This window comes from Homo sapiens, chromosome 14 (assembly GCF_000001405.40).
Source record: "Homo sapiens chromosome 14, GRCh38.p14 Primary Assembly".
NCBI classification, from domain to species: domain Eukaryota; kingdom Metazoa; phylum Chordata; class Mammalia; order Primates; family Hominidae; genus Homo; species Homo sapiens.
This window is the reverse complement of record NC_000014.9, coordinates 54,521,117-54,543,362: the sequence shown is the minus strand read 5'-3', so window position 1 is coordinate 54,543,362 and position 22,246 is coordinate 54,521,117. Positions and strand designations below refer to the sequence as shown.

The 22,246-nt window shown below is 36.8% G+C and overlaps 1 protein-coding gene across 1 annotated transcript in view; it reads right to left on the bottom strand.

The window, feature by feature from the left end:
• Positions 1–4,070: 4,070 nt before the first annotated feature.
• Positions 4,071–22,246, bottom strand: part of CGRRF1 (cell growth regulator with ring finger domain 1) — a 29,387-nt gene continuing 11,211 nt past the window's right edge. The window contains exons 2-6 of the mRNA NM_006568.3: positions 20,770–20,909; positions 13,137–13,314; positions 12,313–12,460; positions 5,534–5,641; positions 4,071–5,300 (exon numbers count right to left, since the gene is read on the bottom strand). Of these exons, the coding sequence (NP_006559.1) occupies positions 4,980–5,300; positions 5,534–5,641; positions 12,313–12,460; positions 13,137–13,314; positions 20,770–20,909 (895 nt within the window). The 3' untranslated portion in view covers positions 4,071–4,979. The remainder of the gene's footprint in view (positions 5,301–5,533; positions 5,642–12,312; positions 12,461–13,136; positions 13,315–20,769; positions 20,910–22,246) is intronic.

Genomic DNA, 22,246 nt, shown 5'->3' with positions numbered 1-22,246 from the left:
AACCAGGGAAGATTAACTATTATCACCAGAGATAAGATGTCTCCATATCACACCTAAATAGACGTTTGTTATGAAAACTATCTATCATTTCTTCCATGTAGTCTCCTAAGGGCCCATTTATCTTTCCTGAAAGTCATTGTTTTCCCCCAAGTGTCTTTCTCCCTCTTGCCTTCCCCTATTACGACTGCATATAAGCCCCAAATAATCATCCCTGAGTCACATTCCATTGTGAACTCCTGTCTGTATGTGATTAAAATGTCTTTTCTTTTGCTAATCTTTCATTTGTCAATTTAATTTGCAGGCCTCCAATGACTGAATCTAAGAAATAGATTAAAAGTTTTTCCTTCCCCACAGTATATACCCAGAGAAATGAAAACATATATCTCTACCAAAACTTGTACCTAAATCTTCATAGCATTATTCATAATGGCCCCAAAGTGGAAAACACCAAAAGCCCATCAAATGCTGACTGGATAAACACAATATGGTATAGCTACACAATGAAGTCTCATCCAGCAATAAAAAGGAATAAAATACCGATTCACACTACAACATGGATGAACCTTGAAAACACGCTAAAAGAAACCAGTCACAAAAATCTTATATTGTGTGATTCAATTTATGATTCTACATTTGATTCCATTCCATGAACTGTCCAGAACAGACAAATCTATAAAGACAAAGTCAGTGCTTGCCTAGGGCTGGGAGGATGGAGGGATTGGGGATGACTGCTAATAGGCATAGGGTTTCTTTTGGGGGTAATAAAAATGTTCAAAATTGATTGTGGTGATGATTATAAAATTCTGTGAGCACATTAAAACTACGGAATGGTACAGTTTGCAAGGGGGAATTGTATGGTATGTAAATTAGATCTCCACAAAGCTGTTTTTAAAAAAGACAAAAACGGCCATGCAGCTTTTGTTTTGTTCACCACAAACACTTGATCTTAGAGCCCTGAGCCTCCGTTAAAAAAGTCTGACTACCCTAAAGCCACCAGACTGTCACAAAACCCAAGCCACATGTAAAGGCCATGTGTTGTCCTAGCTCAGCCCAGCTTTTACATCATCACAGCCCAGGCACCAAATACCTGAGTAAAGAAGCCTTCGGATAATTCTAGCCTTCAGGCCTTTGGGTTACCCCACTAGCCATTCAAGTCTTCCCAAATAAGGCTCCAGGCAAGCCTATCTGTGCCACAGCCTGTGCCAATACCTGACCACAGAATCTCTGAGCATAATAAAATGGTGGTTGTTTTACCCATTCAATTCTGTTAAGAAATAGATCCGTGTAAAGAACACTCTTCCACCAGTTTTCCTCCTATCTCACTGTCTACTCCTCAGTCTATGGGTTCTTCCCTAATCTCCCTGAATGTTGGAGTATCCCAAGTGTCAAACCAGGGGCCTCTTCTATTCCTATGCTCACTCCCTTGGCGCTCTCACGTGGTCTTTTGGCTTTAAATACCATGCTAATGACCCTCAAATTTATATCTTCAGCCTGGACCTCTTTTCTGAACTCTAGATTAGTATATTCACCTGCTTATTTGACATTTCTACTTGACTTCTAACTGGCATCTAAAACTTAACAAAAACACAGTTGTTCTTTTCCTCCAAACTTGCTCTTTTTCCAATCATCCCCATCTCAGTAAACTCCAACTCCCAGCCTTGCAGTCATTAAGACCTCTTCACTGCAAACTGGCTTACTCCCTGGCCCCCTTCAGGTCTCCACCAAAATTCCTAAAGAGGCCTTCAAATACAGTGTAACTCAGTCTGTGTCCCTCACATTCCCTACCTACCCATCCCAGCTTTGATCTCCTCCACAGCACTTACTTCCACCTGATCCTCTAACTTTTACTAATTGGTCTCTTTCTGTCTTTACTAGAATGTAAGCTCCATGAAGGAAAGGAGTTTTGCCTACTTTATTCATTCCTGTATCCCCAATGACCAAAGATGTATAATATCTTTGACACTCAATAATTATTTGTTTAGTTATTGAATGAGTAATCAAATGAGTTCGGGGGCAAGCAGGGATGAAATCAACACAATAAGTAAAGTGTTAGCCTCAAAAGGAGATATAATACATCTCTTCGGGAAGAGAAAAAAAAAAGTCTACCGATTTTGAACATCTAAGCAAAGAAATGACAGTAGAACCAATCTTACATGGGGCTTACTATGGAGGTCACAAGTGTAAGCACTTTACACATATTCATGGGTGTAATCCTCTCAACTGCCTGTGGGCAGGTTCTATTATCATTACTTTATAGATAAGGAAACTGAGGCAGAGTGAGGTTAAGTAACTTCTCCAAGGCAACTAGCCATTAAGTGACAGAGCTGGAATTAAAATCAAGTTATCTGACTTTGGGGTCCATCATAACCTCCACACCATACTACATCTCGAAGGTTCTTTACCGAGGGTGATATAATAGTGGTGGGATACAGAACTTGAAAAAAGTAGGAGAGGTCTGAAATAACTATTTGGGAGTTCAGTAGGGAGTCCATTAAACTAAAGAATTGTTGAGAAGCCTGGTGCAATTAAACTATATGGCTTTGCAATGGGCTCCATTAAGTTGGGAAGAAAGGGTCACTGAAAGAGGAGGTGGCTACTCACCTGTCAAGTCTGCTTAGATGTTGCCCTGGTTCCAAAAGCTGCTAGTTTTGAAAAATAGCATCTATATAAAGCAAATATTTTATCTAATAATCCATTGAAATAAATTTATAGTTGTTCTCACAAAATGTCACTACTCACATCTACTGACAAATTCTGACACAAGCCCCTAGGAATCAGTGTACTTGTTTTTACTTGACAACCTACCAAATTCTTCATATTTACAATTACTTCAGCTGCAACAAGAACTAAAGGCAAGTTATCTTTAAGTTATGAAAACGATGGATAAATAGATAAACAAAATGTGGCATTCACATCCAGTGGAATATTATTCAGCCTTAAAAGGAATGAAATTCTGATGTAAGCTGACATGGATGAATGTTTAAGAAATAGGAAGTTTAGACAGACACAAAAGGATATTGTATGATTCCACTTACATGAAGTACCTAGAATAGTCAAATTTATAGGGACAGAAAATAGAATGGTGGTTGCCAGAGGCTGGCGGGAGGGAGAATGGGTAGTTATTGTTTAATGGGCATGGGGTTTCAGTTTGGGATGATGAAAAATTCTGGAGATGGATACTGGTGAATGTTGCAAAACAATGTGAATGTAATTAATGTCAACTAATTTTACACTTAAAAATGGTTAAAATGGTAAGTTTTATATATGTATATTTTACTACAAACGAAGTTATGAAACATGGAATAAGAATGCAGGCTTGGTGGAGTCTGCTTCTGATGAGAAACCAACTAAGTGTCTAGGACAGTTAAGGTACAAAGAGATCTATAGAGAGGCAGCAGAGCTAGGATGGAGTCTGAATATTCCCCCAATTTACATGACAGATTTTTCAAGATTGTTATACTGCTAGTTAAGGGCAGCAGGGACTGCAGCTTAAGGGCAGCAGGGACTGCAGCTTTGGACTACCCTGCTTCCAGTGGCAGGGTTGGAACAGAGTCTTAGGAACTTCGGGGCGGGGCGGGGGAGTGGCAAGTCGGGGGGTTCTAATTAGCCATCAATGCTCTTTTTATGCTCAAATACCTGACATCAGGAGTCTTGCCTGATTCTTTGTAGCCCAGACTCTCAACAAGTATCTGGCTCCTAGAAGGTATTTATTACATAGCTAGTGAATGTAGATGAAAGTTTGATTTGGTTTATATAATGGAGAATAGATAATGTCTTCTTCAGAGTGCTATACCTGGTTGGAATGGAATTATATAAAAATGCAGATACAAAGGTAAGGCATTATTCTTAATACAAACAGGACAAAAAGGGGCTTGAAAAATCTCCCTGAAGGTCACAGTTTATTTGCCATGATCTGCTTTCTTGGTGAGTTATGATAATTCTCACTGAAAACATGGAAAGCTCTGATTTACCTTTTTCTTTTAGTTATCTTGGAAAGAGAAAAGGGTGGGGTCTTTCTGCCTACCAAGTTTCAAAATTCTTACAGACAGAACAATGGATGAATAAAGTAATTTACTATTCAGAAGAATACAGGGTTTATTTGGAATAAAAATACACTAGAAAAAAATAGTTATTTGTTTCTTTTAGTGATTTTTCTAGCTCTATAACCTCCACCTCCCACCTCAGTTCTGGATGGATTTGCTGTGCAGGCAGAAATCTAAGGTAAGGCATTAAAGGTCTCACAGATCTTCCCTGGAGATCACATTCTGCTAATCTAATCACACTTGACTATCAATTTAATAAATTTAATTATCCAAAAAATCTTATTATCCGAATTTTATATATCTGCCTCCTATAGATGAGTATCATTTTATAATACACGGAGAACAGTCAAGAATTATATCTTGTATTTATGATTTAAGAACCTATATTTAAAACTATGACCTGTATTTACGTAACTATAATAAGGGACATTAGAAACCAAACAGATGGATATTTATAAAAGCTGTTATTTCAGGAAAAGATCTAAAGAAGCTCATTCCAACTCCTTTGTATAAACTAGGGAACACACAATTACTTTAAGTAGAATTAAGTTTTTTCTTAATTGCACTCCGATTACATCAAAGGTAAAACATTTAGTGATCTTAAGAATTTAACCTCCTCAAATTTTCAATGGATTGCCTTTCAGAATGATTTTTCTAATTAACATGAGAGGAAATCTAGCTAATAAAAGGCCAAACTCTTAGATTCTTTTCAAGAGTTGAATGAATTTTTATGTATCAACACAGATGGATTCCAGTATTCATTCACTAAGCAGAAAGGAATAATTAATTTTTATCATCCAAGTACCATACAAATATGAAGTTAAAATATAATTTTCATTGATGGTCAGTACTGTAGATTCCATGTTATGATGAATTCCAAGATCATCAATTTCTGCATCTTTAGTAGAAAGTGTACTTTTCAGTGTTACGATGTCTTCAAAGAGTCTTCGGTTTGTCTTTATCTTGCTCTTTTTGACTGCAAAGTGCAAAAGATTCCTGAACAAACTGCCTGCACATTGGGCACTGCTGAAAATACTTCACACAGCCATCACACAGGCATGTGTGTCTGCATGGTAAGAGTACCCAGTTCACAGTCCCATTCTGGCAAACAACACAGTCCTTGCTGTTCTCTTCCGATGGCTCAACTTCACTTTCAGAGAGTCCCACCTTTTCCAACAAACTTCTGTCTGTGTTTTTTTCTTCTGAAGAGGAATTGTTGGAGGGAGTGAAATTATTATTTGCAGACATGAAAAGTTGCTGAAAATCAAAGAAATAAATTTAAAGATTATTATAAATAACAATTACTCTTTAAAATTGGGGGTCATAAGAAGCGGCTTAAAATTTATGAGCTAGCAAATTCAATTGCAAAGAACAGTTAGTTATCTTCTGTAATTATTAACTGAAAAATATAATCACCTTTCCATAAATGGCCATTCTTTGAAACTCTGTAAACAAAAGAGACAGAGATAAGACTACAGAGTACGGCTTACCTTAAGATCATGAAATTGACCTTGAGCCAAGAGTAAATATTGATACAATATTCTGCAGGATAGTTTATAAGTCCTATCAGGAATATGAATCACTGACACCATGGAAATCTAAAATAAAAATTGAACACTGGTCAGTACTTAAAATCTTTATATTATTTCACAAATATATGAAAAATGCTTTTCAACTGCTTCTAGACACTGTCTTCTGCCAAAAAAAAAGAAAAATGCTTCTCAAAAATAAAAGGCTGATAAATTAGAAAATTTACGTCAATCTGATTAAATCATAATCACTGCAGAGGAATCAGTTACTGACATATTTTTGGCAGAGTTATTTTAATTGTACTCAAATTTACAAATTTAATGCTATCACAATGGACAAAGGAATCTTTGAGAGGACTAAAGAAGGAAATGGAGAGGAATTAAAATCAGTATTAAACAGTCTTTTAAGAAACTTGGATGTAAAGGGACCAGAGAAAACACTTTTGCTTAGAGAGCTACATGCATTGACTCTAAAATTCTCATATAGAAAAATGAACACAAAAGAACAGCTAGAAAAATACTGAAAAGAGAGAGTTATGAGGGCGACTAGCCCCATCAGATAATAAAACAGACTACAAAGCCTTTAAAATTAAAACAGTATGGTACTGGCACATGAATAGACAGATGGATGAAACAGGATAAACAGTCCAGAAACAGACGTAATTATGTACAAAAATATAATAAAGGTGTGATGTCAAATCACCAAAGAGTTTTTTTAATAAACAGTATTGGGACAATTGGATAGCTATTGGAAAAATATATAATTAGATGCATTCCTCATACCATACATAAGAATCAACTCCAGAAACATAAGAGATCTAAATGTAAAAAATAAAACTGTACAAGTACTAGAAGAAAATCAACAAATTCCATTTTAGTCTCAGTGTAAGGAAAGACATTAACTACAACTCAAAACCCAGAGGAAATACACTTGACTATATAAGAATTAAAAATATACATGATAAAAAGCACCATAAACAAAGTCAAAACACATGACAAACTAGAATAAATATTCACAAGGTGTGTCACAAATTAAAGGTTAATATTCCTAATTTATGAAGAACTTTTAAAAACTGAAGAAAAATGGCCAAAATCCTATAGAAAAATGGGCAAAAGACATGAACGGACAATTCATAAAAAGATATAAACATGAGCCTTGACCATATTAAAAGATGTTTAATTAAAATTAATACTGCACCATTATTCACTCATCAAAGTAACAAAAATCCAGAAGCTTGTCAATACACTCTGTGGAAATACACTCTCATATATTGTTGGTGGAAATGTTTTTTTCCAAAAAGGTACAATTCCAATGGCAATATCTAACAAAACAACATGCATTTACACTTCAACCATACAATTCCAACAATATTAAGATATGTATATATGAATTATTCAGCATAAGATTATTTGTTACTGCAGAATACTGGAAACCACCTGAATGTCCAAGCACAGGAGACTGGCAGAATAACTATGGAATATGCACAGCATACACACAGTGCAGTGCCATGCAGCTATTAAAAAAAAAAAAAGTGAAGACAATCTCTGCAAACTGGTGTGCAGTGATTTCCAGATTTTCTGAAATGAAAAAGAGCAAAGTACAAAACAGCATATGTAGCATAGAGTATGTGCTATCTTTTGTGTAAGAAAAAAGAGAAAATAAAAAACAGGGAGGAAAAATCAGAAAACAACAACTATCTCTAAAGACTGGGGTGTGTGGGAATGGCGTGGAAGGGATACGGAAGAAAACAACATGAGTATATTTCTTTATATGGTTTTCTGACTTTTGAGAGAACTAATCCAAGTAATCTGTGGGCACAGTTTGACTACAAACCCTCAGTCTTGGCAGGAAGCAGGGAAATGGCAGTTTGAGCGTCAAAATAATTAAATTCAGCCATGAATTATAAAACACTGGGGGAAAAATTCATGAGGCCATAGAGACAACAGATAAGCAAACAAACAAATGGGAGAGACAGGAAGTCTCTTGCTTGTTGTAGAATGCCAAGAACCGACTGGAGGGAGGGCTGCAGTTGGAAAATAATAATTTTGCAACCATCACAGTAAAGATGAAATCTGGCAAGAATCATCAATGGATGTTAAATCTAGGACAAAAAAATTTTTTTTAATAAAAAGCAGGATATTTACATGATCTTACAGTGCCTCCTCACAGATCAAGGGGGAGAAAAAAACAGAAGAGTGGAGAAATTAGATAACACCTTGACTAAGAGATCAAAATTAACATGACCAATTAGAGAAAAGAACATTGCATGCTTCTAGAGGTGGCACTCTGAAAAGGACACATCACCCGGGCAGCTCACTGGCTGCAGATGTAAAACTTTGATCTGATCATAAGAAAAATCAGACAAACAAAATGAGAATGTTTTAATTTACAAAAAGTGTGTGTGTGTGTGTGTGTGTGTGTGTGTGTGTGACTATACCCTTCAAAAATGCTCATGTCATAAAAGACAGAGTATGGAAATGTTCCAGGCTAAAGGAAGCTAAAGATCCATGACAAATACAAAATCTGGCTCTAGACTAGAACCTGAACTGGAGAAGAAAATTGGTTGTGAATTGGATAAAATACTGTATCAATGTTAAATTTATAAAGCAGATGACTATACTGTGGTTATATAAGAAAGCATCCTTATTTTTAGGAAATACACACTGAAGCATTTAGGGGTAAAGAATCATCACGTATGCAACTTATTCTCAAATCATTGATTTAAAATATATATACGATCATATATATGTGTATGTATAAACATATGGGTAGGCTGGGTGTGGTGGCTCACGCCTGTAATCTCAGCCCTTTGGGAGATCACAGTGGGAGTACTGCTTGAGCTCAGGAGTTTGAGACCAGCCAGGGCAACACAGTAAGATCCTGTCTTTAGAAAAAAATTTTTTTTAACTTAGCTGGGCACAGTGGTACATTCCTGTTGGCCCGGTTACTCAGGAGGCTGAGGCAGAAGGATCACTTGAGCTCAGGAAGTTGAGGCTGCAGTGAGCCATGACTGTGCCACTATATTCCAGCCTGGTGATAGAGCAAGATCCTATCTCAACCAATCAATCAATACACACATACATACATAAATGGGAGAACAATAATGCAAAGGACAGAAATGCTAACAATAGGAGATCCAGGTGCAGGGTATATGGGTGATCTTTTACTTTTTTATTTTTGCAACTTTTTGAAATTATGTACAAATAAAAAGTTTTAAAACCCTACATTAGTTGCAAAAACACAATATTCTTTACAAGTTTATAAAGATTTATTAATTTAGTAATGGCACCAGAGGCTTTTAATACTAAATCAAAATGATGGGGTTAGTAGAAAATAGTAGTTATCACTTCATACTAACAATTTTGTCCTCTGGGAGCAGTGGCTCACACCTGTAACCCCAGCACTTTGGGAGGCCGAGGCGGGTCGATCACGAGGTCAGGAGTTCAAGACCAACCTGGCCAACATGGTGAAACACCATCTCTACTAAAAATACAAAAATTAACTGGGCGTGGTGGTGCGTGCCTGTAGTCCCAGCTACTCGGGAGGCTGAGGCAGGAGAATTGCTTGAACCCAGGAAGCAGAGGCTACAGTGAGCTGAGATTGTGCCACTGCACACCAGCCTGGGCGACAGAGCGAGATTCTGTCTCAAAAAACAAAAAAAAAACCAATTTTGTCATTTGATTTAATATTAAAAGTCTCTGAAGCTATTATCATACTAGTTATATATGTAGTTGTGGGTAAATATTTGATATGGAAAAAATGTTTGAATATACTACTAAGTGAAAGCAGGTCACAAAATAGTATAAAATGTATAATTTTATCCCTTTTTTAATTACATATATAAAGATTTGGAAAGATACAGACAAATATTCACAGTGATTATTTTTGGATGATAGAATACAGATTATTATACTTCTCTCCTTTTGGCTTATCTACACTTTCTAATTTTTTTTCCTGCCACAAATGTATTATTTGAATAATACTGAAAAAAAGCCAATGTAATTAACTAAAAATGAAAAAATTTTAAAGTCAAAATTTTGTAGTAACAATTCCTGCTTTCCTTTTTTTAATCTAAAACAACAAAGTGGTTCCTAACTGTACTACCTAAATATAATTCTTTGCTGTTAAAATAAAAATGATTTTATTAATAAATTTTTTAAAAAAATATAGTCCCTGACACGCACATACAATACTGAAAAAACACATATGAAAAAGAAATAGGAAATGGTCCATTTGCTTTTAAAATTATAAACAGAGAACATTAATACAAAATACACTAATAAATATATTTGAGTGCCAATATTACCCCCAATCTAAGAAATAAGACGAGAAGCAAGGATTAACAGGAAAAAAGGAGGGAGCCCACAGATGAGAATAAAAGACATTCAAAAGGACCCAGACACAGAGACATACACAAAGCACAAGAGAAGATGGCTGTTAACCCTTGGGAGACACTCAGGCTTCCCTATGGGAACAAGCCTCCCACAACTACAGCTGGGCCACACAGTCTTCATCCAGTGTGATCAGGGACCTGAGAGCAAACTCTTCTCTGGCCTAAAAGGCCACTGAACTGAAAACACACACACAAAAATGGTTAAAATGGTAAACTTTATATATAAAATATATATATTTTACCACACAGATACACAATCACTCCCTGTTTGGACAGGGGAAGAAAGTTAGAAAAAAAAAAAGACCCTGAGCACCTAGAGAGCACTATCAGTGAAGGGAAAAGGAATGCAATGGGGAAGCTGGGAGGGAAAATGACTGCGATCTGATCCTTTTGTGCTGAACCAAAGGAAAAAGGAGAACAGAACCCAAGAAACTCAGCAGAGATGGGGCACACAGTGGGGGCAGAAGGGCTTCCTTGCCCAAGTACACAGGGTCAAGAACAAAGAAGCTAGAAATAGGAGACACCAATTTAACAGGTTTTATTTATCTCTAACTGAAACTGAGAGAAAGGAGGGAGGAAGCCAGAAGGCCTCTCATGCACGCTAAGGTGCATGGGATGTACAGCTAAGGTGTTTCGCTGTCAAGCTCTATGAGGCTCATTAACATTGTCTAGTATGACTTTTTTTTTTTTTTTTTACTTATCAAATCTTTATTGAACCCCTATTATATCCTAGGCACTGTACTAGGTTCTGGAAATACACTACTGCTGGTATGACTTTTGTATTTTGTATTTTTATTGTATATATTTAAGGTGTACAACAGGATGTTTTGATATATATATACCTAGTGAAATGGTTACTATTATAATGCAAATTACGCATCATCTTACACAGTTACTTCCACTTTTTTTGCATGTGGCAAGAGCACCAAAAATCCCAAAAGCAATACCACATTAACTATAGTCTTTATGCTGTACATTAGATCTCTAGACCTGTTCATTTTATGTATCTGTAACTTTGTCTCTAGTGACCTACATATCCCCATTTCCTTCCCCTCTGCTCCCCATGACTTGGAAAAAATAAGCTGACCTCAGCTCAATGGAACTTCAGTTTGAAAATATTAAAAACCAAAAACCTAGGTGCTTAACTGCAAATGAGTAAGAAGGGTCTAGATTTCCCAAAGAGTCTTTACCTTCCAAAGCTCAATGTACACTTGTTGCAGGAAGATATTCCTGCTAAAAAAAATAAACTCAAAAAACAAAAACAAACAAACACACACAAAAAGCTCAGAGTCAAGCTCTTGTTCCATCTCTTACTGCCTGAATGACTGGGATTTTTCTTGACTCTGTTTCAGTCTGTGAAAGGAGAATATTTGCCCTGTCCTAAGAAACCAGGTTGTTAGAAGAAAAAAATAAGTTCATGTTTGTGAACGTACTTTGCATATTACGAATATCACAAAACAATGTTACCATATGTTTATTAATGAATAATCTATATTAAATACTTCAGAAAAGTAGTCAATTGTGTGTAAGGACATTTTTACCATGATACAATTTCATCAAAAGTTTATTTCATGTCTAAGTTTCTATTATACTCAGATGATTGTCAAAGTTTCAGTCCTCTTAGATCTCTAAGATACTTTTAACTTCCTAATAGGAATCAACTATCAGACTGAAAAAATAATTAGCACATAATGAGGAAAGGAGATTATTATAATTACTGAAAATACAGGGACCAGACATATAAGATATAGGTGCAGCAGGGACTTTGATGGAAACAAGGTGACTGCAAGCAGGCAAAAAAAGAGTGGATACTATCTTAAAATTGAGCACTTTCGATCATTATTGTGCTTATTTATTCACTGCTAAACATGTTCAGAATAAACATGCTTCCCAACAGACTGTTTCTATACAGCAAATATGACAGAATACAGAATGATGAAATTAACTTAATTCAACCATTATATATCTTTTATTTCCCAAATAAAGTCATATTACTGTGATCCATAAGGCAAAAAATGAGTCATACTCTGAAGGTACTGTTACACATATAAAAACTAAATAGGTGTATACAACCAAATAGGTGTTAATGATGAAACTAACTTAATTCAACCATTATATATCTTTTATTTTCCAAATAAAGTCATATTACTGTGACCCATAAGGCAAGAAATGAGTCATAATCTGAAGGTACTGTTTCACATATAAAAACCAAATAGGTATATAGTTGTTGTAGGCCAAATGCACATCCTCAGAAATTAAAATAAAACTTTTTCTATTTATCAAATAATGAAGAACCACCATTCAAATCACTTAAAGGTAATGCTTTCAAAATTTTCAATTACTTACAATATCATAAATTTCCCGGTCATCCTCATCAGCTAAGGTCAATAGCGCTACCAATGGATAGCGAGATCTGGGTACTGTACCAAAGTCTTCAATTTTAGTATCTCTTGGTAACTGGCAATATATTTCTTCTTTGCTATCCTTTTTAATACTTTTTGAAAATGTAAAGGTAAATTGCCACTATAACCATAAGAACAAAAATACACCAAAAATGATCAATAAGTTAGCAACACTTTATCCATAAGAAGTCTAATTTTCAGTGCTAATGGGTATATCAGATAAAAGGATACAAATACTGTTCCTGATAGAGACATTCACTCCACAGAGCATCTTCTAATGCTTGAGGAGTGCTTATTCTGAAGCAATAAACATGCTTCTAGTATACCAAAAATGATCAATAAGTTAGCAACACTTTATCCGTAAGAAGTCTAATTTTCAGTGCTAATGGGTATATCAGATGAAAGGATACAAATACTGTTCCTGATAGAGATATTCACTCCACAGAGCATCTTCTAATGCTTGGGGAGTGCTTATTCTGAAGCAATAAACATGCTTCTAGTATACCAAAAATGATCAATAAGTTAGCAACACTTTATCCATAAGAAGTCTAATTTTCAGTGCTAATGGGTATATCAGATGAAAGGATACAAATACTGTTCCTGATAGAGATATTCACTCCACAGAGCATCTTCTAATGCTTGAGGAGTGCTTATTCTGAAGCAATAAACATGCTTCTAGTATACCAAGAATGATCAATAAGTTAGCAACACTTTATCCATAAGAAGTCTAATTTTCAGTGCTAATGGGTATATCAGACGAAAGGATACAAATACTGTTCCTGATAGAGATATTCACTATACAGAGCATCTTCTAATGCTTGGGGAGTGCTTATTCTGAAGCAATAAACATGCTTCTGCAGAGCTTCATATAATTTTTGAACACTGCACCCCCAGTAGCATGTAAGGAGGCTATCTTCAAGGCAATCTGTTGTCAAGGTTATGCCAGCTGTAAAAAACAAAGGAGAAAGAATGAAAGTGATTTAATGTAACTTCTAATACAATCATACAGGGTGAGTAACAAAAGCTTCCTTTTGGATGCTGGCCAGGATGATGGCAGTTAAAAGAACTTGTTAAAGGGTATGCCTCCTATAAACGAAGGAACTGGCCTCTGTAACAAGAGATATAAAAGCTCAATGTCTACACATTTTTTGAGAGCTATCAAAAAACTATTTCTTACTATTTATCTATTAAAGCTTAGAAACTGTTAATTTTCTTTTTTGGCGACTCTAAGACATTTCCCATCTAGATTTTTAAAACTAAAATACAGTTCACTATTGATAACCTACCACTCTCATAGTGTATATGATCCTAACGACAAGAAACAGTGCAGCAGAATACAGCTGTCCTCTAAAGGGGATATGTACAACCTATAGGCTCCACAACATGATCGCTGTTGTAAGAAAAATATTAAAAAGAAACTGAGCTTTACTAACATTAATGTATACATTGACAACATTAACATACAGGCTTGTCACAGACTTAATGTCCCATGTAATATGCAAAATATCCTGAGGAAAAGAGTGGGGATTCCAAAACATAAAGAGTTTAATAGTGGTATCTTAATTCAGTTGTTCACTTTCAACTTAAGAAGATATAACAATTTGAGTAGACCTGATTAAATGGATATACAAATTGTAAGTAGATGTGAAATTATACAGTTTTATTTAACACTTGTATAGGACTTACTTTGTGTCACCTATGTGATTTCCCCCTCCTAGTGGTATTTGTAGCAATATCACATTCAAGGGTAGCAACATCCAGCCTTTCATACTGCTGGGGGTGCAAACTGTAGCAGCGCAAACTGTAACGTGTAGTACTCCTTGGCACTGATACACTGACTAGATAAAAAGGGCCTGGTTTTGGTCATTGTTCCTGGCTCAACAGCCTTGGCATCTGATTTTGGCTCTCCAAACCTGCCAGCAATTCTGTAAGCTACCCAATATCCTTTTATTGAAGTTGTTTCTGTTGCTTGCTAATAAGAATTCTGATTGATATATTACCTATTTTTTAAAATGTGATCAAGAGTATATGTTAGAAGAAGATACACAAATACAAGCAGATGCTCCACAGGATACCAAAAACTGATTTTTCCAATTTTACTCTCAGTATTTAGTAGTATGTACACACAGTCTGAGAGTCTGAGTAGCATTGATACATGGCCATTTCTAATCATACTTAAGGAAAAATTTTAATTGGTAGGAACTTTGCATAGGTTAATTGGAGCAGGCTTTGATTTCAAATTTTTATGATTCCAATCATCAGGTATTAACTCAAGAATGAAAAATTCCATTTGATATTAAATAGCTGAAGGAAAACATTTTATTTATACATACACAAATACATATACACACATATACACACACATACAAAATCACACATATTTTTCCCTTTGTCACTGTAGAACCACATAACATGAGGCAGAAGAAAAAAGCTGGAGGTAGATACGAAAGGAAAAAATAGAAAATGCATATTTTAAAACATTGAAAAAGAAAAAACAAGAAACACAAAATGATTATTTATTATTGTATTACTAGCAAAAATGTGAAAAGATATATGTATAAGGCTACTCATTATAGCACTAGTTATCATAGCAAAATGCTGGAATAAACCCAAATGTTCATCAATGCGGATTAAATGAATAAATATAGTACTCTACAATAAAGTACTAAGAAGCTATTAAAAGTGAATAGGAAGGCGGAGGTTACAGTGAGCCGAGATCGTGCCACTGCACTACAACCTGGCTGACACAGTGAGACTCTGTCTCTTAAAAAAAAAAAAAAAAAAAAAAGAATTGAGGTATATCAGAGTATCTGCACACACTATTATGAAATGATCTTCAGAATATATTAGTAAATGAAAAAAAAGCAAGGTAGAGAAAATTAAATATATATGCTACTGTTTATCTCACAAGAATGGATACCCATATATGTGTTTGTTTACATTAAAGAAGAACAGGCTGGGTGTGGTGTTTCATGCCTGTAATTCCAGCACTTTGGGAGGCCAAGATGTGCAGATCACTTGAGCCAGGAGTTTGAGACCAGCCTGGGCCAACGTGGCAAAACCATGTCTCTACAAAACACACAAAAATTAGCTGGGCATGGTGGCACGCACCCGTGGTCCTAACTTCTTGGAAGGCTGAGGTAGGAGGATCACGGCTGCAGTCAGCCATGATCACACCACTACATTTCCACCTGGATGACAGAGTGAGACCCTGTTTCAAAAAAAGAAAAAAAAAAAAAGAACAATGGAAGGATAAGCCTTTTAAAACTCAACTTACAGCTTACAGAACATATAAAACTACCCTGTTTATTTGCTTTGTAAAAAGAAAAAAAAAGCCAGAGCCCCAAAGATTCAGAGCTACTTAAGAGACTCGTTTATAGACTTTGTATACTTAACTAAAATGGGAAGAGTGTCAGAGACCTTTGACAACTGGAGATTAATCAGATCTTAAAATGTCTCTAAAATTAATTTAAAAAAACTACAGAATCTATAAAATTATACTCTCCATAATCTCTTTTTTTAATGTTATTATTATTATACTTTAAGTTTTAGGGTACATGTGCACAATGTGCAGGTTTGCTACATATGTATACATGTGCCATGTTGGTGTCCTGCACCCATTAACTCGTCATTTAGCATTAGGTATATCTCTATAATCTTTTACAAACTTGTCCATTACATAAACTGAGGGGAGAATGTAATGATTTCCACTATCTGAAGACAGTGTCAGTACCCCCATCAAAACTATTCTCCCTTTACCTTTTCCACTTTTTTTTTTGCAAAGAGTTTCAATTTTTATGTATTTTTTTGCCTTCTAAAACTCAGTACACACATGACATCACTTTAGATCAATAGCATTAACAGAATTGGGACGTAGCTGTAAGAAAATTCAGAATCAAAATAAGTGAAGCACATGGGTGTGGTATCTCTCAAACTGTCCTTACCCAGACTATCTATAACAAGCAAATAAAGCGGAGTGTAAGAGACAGCCTTGCAAAAAAGTGAAAAAAATAAGGACTGTAGAAAATATGCTAAGCCACTAAAAAGGGAGAAATGATGGGGCGGAAAAGCCACAAACCTTCTTGAGGAAGGATCCCTGTGAGAGAAGCAGTAATAAAACAAGGAGACCATTCATGAGGATAATAAAGCCAGAGTATTGGGAGATGAAAGTTTTAGGTTGTAGAGAATGGAGGTTCACAAACGCCTCCAAACATGCCATGTACATTGTGTTTTTTTCTAACCCTTTTGCTTTAATGTTAGCTCTTACCAGAGTGAATAAGCTAAAATATAAGGAAGCTATTTACAAAAAGCAGAATTCCTGAATCAAATTAATTCAACTCAACTTATATACACTGAGTATCTAACTTTCAATTTCATTAAAGACTCTATATTGGAGACATGGAAACGCAAATCCAAATATATCATTACATAATAACAACAACAAAAAAATCCCAGCAACCCACCCCTAGTAAACAGAACTAAATGACTCAGATTAAAATCGATTCTCTGGTTTTCTTTTTTTTTTAATTATAAATTTTAAAATATGGCCAGGGCGCAGTGGCTCACACTTGTAATCCCAGCACTTTGGGAGGCCGAGGTGGGCAGATCATGAGGTCAAGAGATTGAGACCATCCTGGATAACACGGTGAAACCCTGTCTCTACTAAAAATACAAAAAATTAGCTGGGCATGGTGGCATGCACCTGTAGTCCCTGCTACTCAGGAGGCTAAGGGAGGAGAATTGCTTGAACCTGGGAGGCAGACGTTGCAGTGAGCCAAGATTGCACCACTGCACTCTAGCCTGGGCGACAGAGCGAGACTCCGTCTCAAAAAAAAAAAAAAAAAAAAAAATCTTAAATATAAATAAAAAGCATGTGTGTTTTTTTGTTTTTGTTTTTTGAGACAGGGTCTCACTCTGTTGCCCAGGCTGGAGTGCAGTGGCATGATCTCAGCTCACTGCAGCCTCAACCTCCCAGACTTAAGCAATCCTCCAGCCTAAGCCTCCTGAGTAGCCGGCACTAACAGGCATGTGCCACCACGCCCAGCTAATTTTTGTATTTTTAGTAGAGATGAGGTTTCGCCATGTTGGCCAGGCTGGTCTTGAACTCCTGGACTCAAGGATCCGCCCGTCTCAGCCTCCCAGAGTACTGGGATTACAAGCATGAGCCACCACGTGCAGCCTCTGGTTTATTTTCAAGTTAAATCAGGTCTCTAGATTATTCACCCTCTTCTGCTATATGTCAGGCAGTTTGGGTACAGTGGTGAAAAAAAGATTTTTAAACTATCTACACATCAAATGAAATAACTTTTTTAAATGTCACAAATATTGTTACAATATTATTTTAATGTTCTGTATAGACATCTTTAATGATACCCACTTTTCCACAGTTTAAACAAATGAATTTTACTCTGTTGAGTATAACTCCTATCAAAATCCTTCTATTTCCCCATAGGAGAAAGATAATAAATGATATGCATCGGTATTTTAAAAATTAAAATATTTCAGTATTCATGCTGTACATCCACACATTTAAATAATTTTTCATGACTTCAGTAATACTACTGTTGGTTAGCAACTAGTGTGCAGGCATAGCTAAGAGGGCTACTTACTGGCTATCTTTTCATTTGCCTCAAACATTCGCAAGGCTGGTTCTATTTGTGACTATTTCTGCCTGAAAAGCAGATTGATGGATTTCCTCACACTTTCTGCCTCACAAGTGCCCTGTGTTTTGCTCACAATGTATCAGCTCTTCTTAGTTTTTCAGTGTATTTTCAGACCTGTGGAACTGTACTGCAGGAAGGAAGGCCTTGCAGCTGGTAGGTTTTTCATTGCGGGTCCTGCTCAAGAGCCAGATGTGACATTGTAGCAGGTTCTAGCCTATGGCCACAGAGGTGGGAGGTTATTGAACCACCACTATGCTGTACACTTGATTTTTTATTTTATTTTTTGAGACAGAGTCTCACTCTGTCACCCAGGCTGAAGTGAAGTGGTGTGATCACGGCTTACTGCAACCTCGACCTCCTGGACTCAAGCAATCCTCCCACCTCATCCTCCCGAGTAGCTGGTAGCTGGGTGTACACTTTAATCAGGCATGCACAACCTACTATCTTTTAAACAAATTAGTTTTATCTGTGTCATATCTCAAAATTTGGTTTTCTCAAGTAAAAAATATCAGAATGAACTGTTATCTATTATAGGGAAGGAGCGGGGAGGGGAGTGGCCGAGATCCTAGTTTCCATCAATTCATAGGGTAATAGTATTTACAGCTAAAGAGGATGAATAAGAAATTTTGTACTTTTTGGGGCCAAGAACAGTGGGTCACGCCTGTAATCCCAGCACTTTGTGAGCCTGGGGCAGAAGGACTGCTTGAGGCCAGAAGTTTGAGACCAGCCTGGGCAACACAGCAAGACCCCATCTCCACAAAAAACATTTTTTTTTTTATTTAGCCAGGCACGGTCATGCACACCTGTAGTCCCAGCTACTCAGGGGGCTGAGGCAGGAGGACCACTTGAGCCCAGGGTATTGGGGCTGCAGTGAGGTATGATCATACTACTGCATTCCAGCCTGGGTGGAAGAGCAAGAGCCTGTCTCGAAAAAAAAAAAAAAAAACATATATTTTTCCTTACAAATCAAGATTTACTTAAGCCTGATGATCTATTTGACTAAGTAAACTGATTTCTGACCAGTTATTAGATTCTGAGAGTTAGAGGCAGGAAAGATGAATAGACAAGAATGGTCCATAGACGCAAGGGAGCAGGACGTTGCAAATGAAGGTCAACTCTGTAAAATACTAGAGAGAGAGCATTAACTCAGCCCTGAAAGGCTCCCACTGGATTTGATGACTGCTGGGGGTCAAAAGTGCAGGGCAGAAGTCGTAATTAGTGACCTCAGAGAAAGCCATTTCAGTAAAGGGATACAGGGAAAAGTCAGACTGCACTGCACTGAGGAGTAAAAATGAAGCAGGCTAAGAGAAGGAAAATGCAAACAGCTTCTAAGAAGCTGGCTGTGAGGGGAAGAAGAGAAATACGGCAGTAGCTAGACTAGGATGAAAAGCAGAGAAAGATCTGGCTTATTTGTTTTCAAGAAACCAGAAATGTAAGCAAGTATAGAAGGGACAGGGTCTCGGCCCAGAAAAAAAGCTACAGAACTGTATCTAGGACTGCCTACTCTTTATTTCTATTGAACTGTCACGAAAGAATTTCAAAGTCCAAAAGTTCAAAATTGAATTCATTGCCTTTCTTTGGAAACTTGCTATTCTTTCTGTACTCCTCATTTTTCTAACAGGATCTGGCTATGGAGGACCCATAGGAAGAACCTGAGTCTTCTTAGACTCCTCTGTTACCTGTCCCATCCTATGCTTTAGCCATAACTACTGTTTCTTTAATGTATCACTCCATTTCTCATCCACGAAGTAAACACCTATCTTCCAAGATTCTACTCAAAAAAAAAAAAGGAGGAAGGAATAAAGAAAAAAAAAGTAAGAGAGACTCAGCATATTCTTTTTTATGAAGGCTTTCCTGAATATGCCTCTTCACCTTAACAAATTTAAGCATCTCTTTCTTTACAATTCTAATGGTTCCTATATGGTCCTGCAGACAACTTATTTTTCCAAGCAAGTACAAAAGCAAACAACTGCCATCTATTACCTACCATCTACAAAAGAACATGTTATATCAAAATAATTTATACCAAAATACCATAGTTTCAGATTAAATGACAATCATTCTGGCCGCGCGCAGTGGCTCACACCTGTAATCCCAGCACTTTGGGAGGCTGAGGTGGGTGGATCATCTGAGGTCAGGAGTTTGAGACCAGCCTGGTCAACATGGTGAAACACTGTCTCTACTAAAAAAACAAAAATTAGCCAGGTGTGGTGGTGCATGCCTGTAATCTCAGTGACTTGGGAGGCTGAGGCAGGAGAATCGCTTGAACCCGGGAGGTGGAGGCTGTAGTGAGCCGAGATTGTGCCATTGCACTCCAGCCTGGATGACAGAGTAAGAATCTGTCTCAAAAAAAATAAAAAGGCAATTGTTCCTCAAAAGGTTAGCAACCTTACGTTAACTGTATTTAGACATAACACATCATTTCTCACTTTACTACAGACCAATAAAAATGGCATAGTGTCCTAAGAGACTTCACTATTAACACCTGTAATACTTCATTCTACTCCTTTGTATACACATCTACCTCTGTTTACTAGGTGATAAATTCTTCAGGAGTAAAGTTTGTAACTTCTTAATCTTTGTATCTGTCATATACAGTACAGCACCTGGAACAACATAGTTGCCCAACAAATGTTTGTTAAAAGTCTAATGAAGGGAAAGAAATAGAGAAAGAAAATAAAAGGGCTAAAAAAAGAGGGCAAACAATGAGAGAAAATCTTTGGAAAACAGCCACCAACTTGTAATTGAAGCTGAAGATGGATTAGTGATCTCTAAGCCAAAAGGATTCTTGACTTGTCTCATTTGCTTTTTGAAAACTCTTGTGCTGAACTGGGTCTCTTCTGAATTTCTCAGAATTACTGGAACATCCCAACCAAACCTAAAAAAAGGTAAAAAATAAAATATTATTTTAACAAATGTTGAAACTTTATGTTATGTGTAAAATCTGTTGTGCTTCATTAGCGATTCCTTTTAGCATTAAGTGTCAGAAAGAGGTTAAATTTCTCAATTTACGTTATTTTAGAGATCCCACAGAACTGCAAAACAGTTGGCCCTCTGTATGAACCAAGTGCACATCAAAAATATTTGGGGACGAGGGGGAAGAATAAAAAATAACAATAAAAAATACTACAAATTCAAAACCAATACAGTATAACAACTGTTTACACAGCATTTACATTAGGTGTAAGTAATCTAGAGATAATTTGAAGTGTACAGAAGGACGTGTGTAGGTTATATGCAAATACTATGTAATGTTATATAAGGGACTTAAGCATCCTAGAATATGGGGGGTGGGTATCCTAGAATCAATCCCCCTCAGATATCAAGGAAGGACTAGGTATTGTTCAGCTGGCTGAATCAACACATTCTTGAAAACAAAGAGTTCTATTGTTAATACTGTTGATAACACCAAAGGAGTATGGAGATTATAGATAAATTATACTTAATTTAACAGCAAACACATGATGAACTTATTGAATTTTTTTAAATGTGAAAAAGAAATATATATTCAAGAGGCAGACTATTGGCCGGGTGTGGTGGCTCATGCCTGTAATCCCAGCACTTTGGGAGGCCAAGGTGGGAGGATCACTTGAGGTCAGGAGTTCGAGACCAGCCTGGCCAAAACATAGTGAAACCCTGTCATTAATAAAAATACAAAAATTAGCTGGGCATGGTGGCGTGGACCTGTAGACCCAGCTACTTGGGAAGCTGAGGCAGGAGACTGGCTTGAACCCGGAAGGCAGAGGTTGCAGTGAGCCGAGATCGTGCCACTGGACTCCAGCCTGGGCAACAGAGCAAGATTTCGTCTCTCAAAAGAAAAAAGAGGCAGACTAATATGATTTATGGGACAACGGAACTTTTTTTTTTTTTGAGATGGAGTTTCATTCTTGTTGCCCAGGCTGGAGTGCAATGGCGTGATCTTGGCTCACTATAACCTCTGCCTCCCGGGTTAAAGCAATTCTCCTGCCTCAGCCTCCCAAGTAGCTGAGATTACAGGCATGTGCCACCATGCCCAGGTAATTTTTGTATTTTTAGTAGAGACGGGGTTTCACCATATTGACCAGGCTGGTCTCGAACTCCTGACCTTAGGTGATCCGCCCACCTCAGCCTCCCAAAGTGCTGGGATTACAGGCGTGAGCCACCATACCCAGCCAGGACAATGGAACTTTTAAAACACCAACTATAGCTCTTCATTTATATATCTTCTACTTTTAA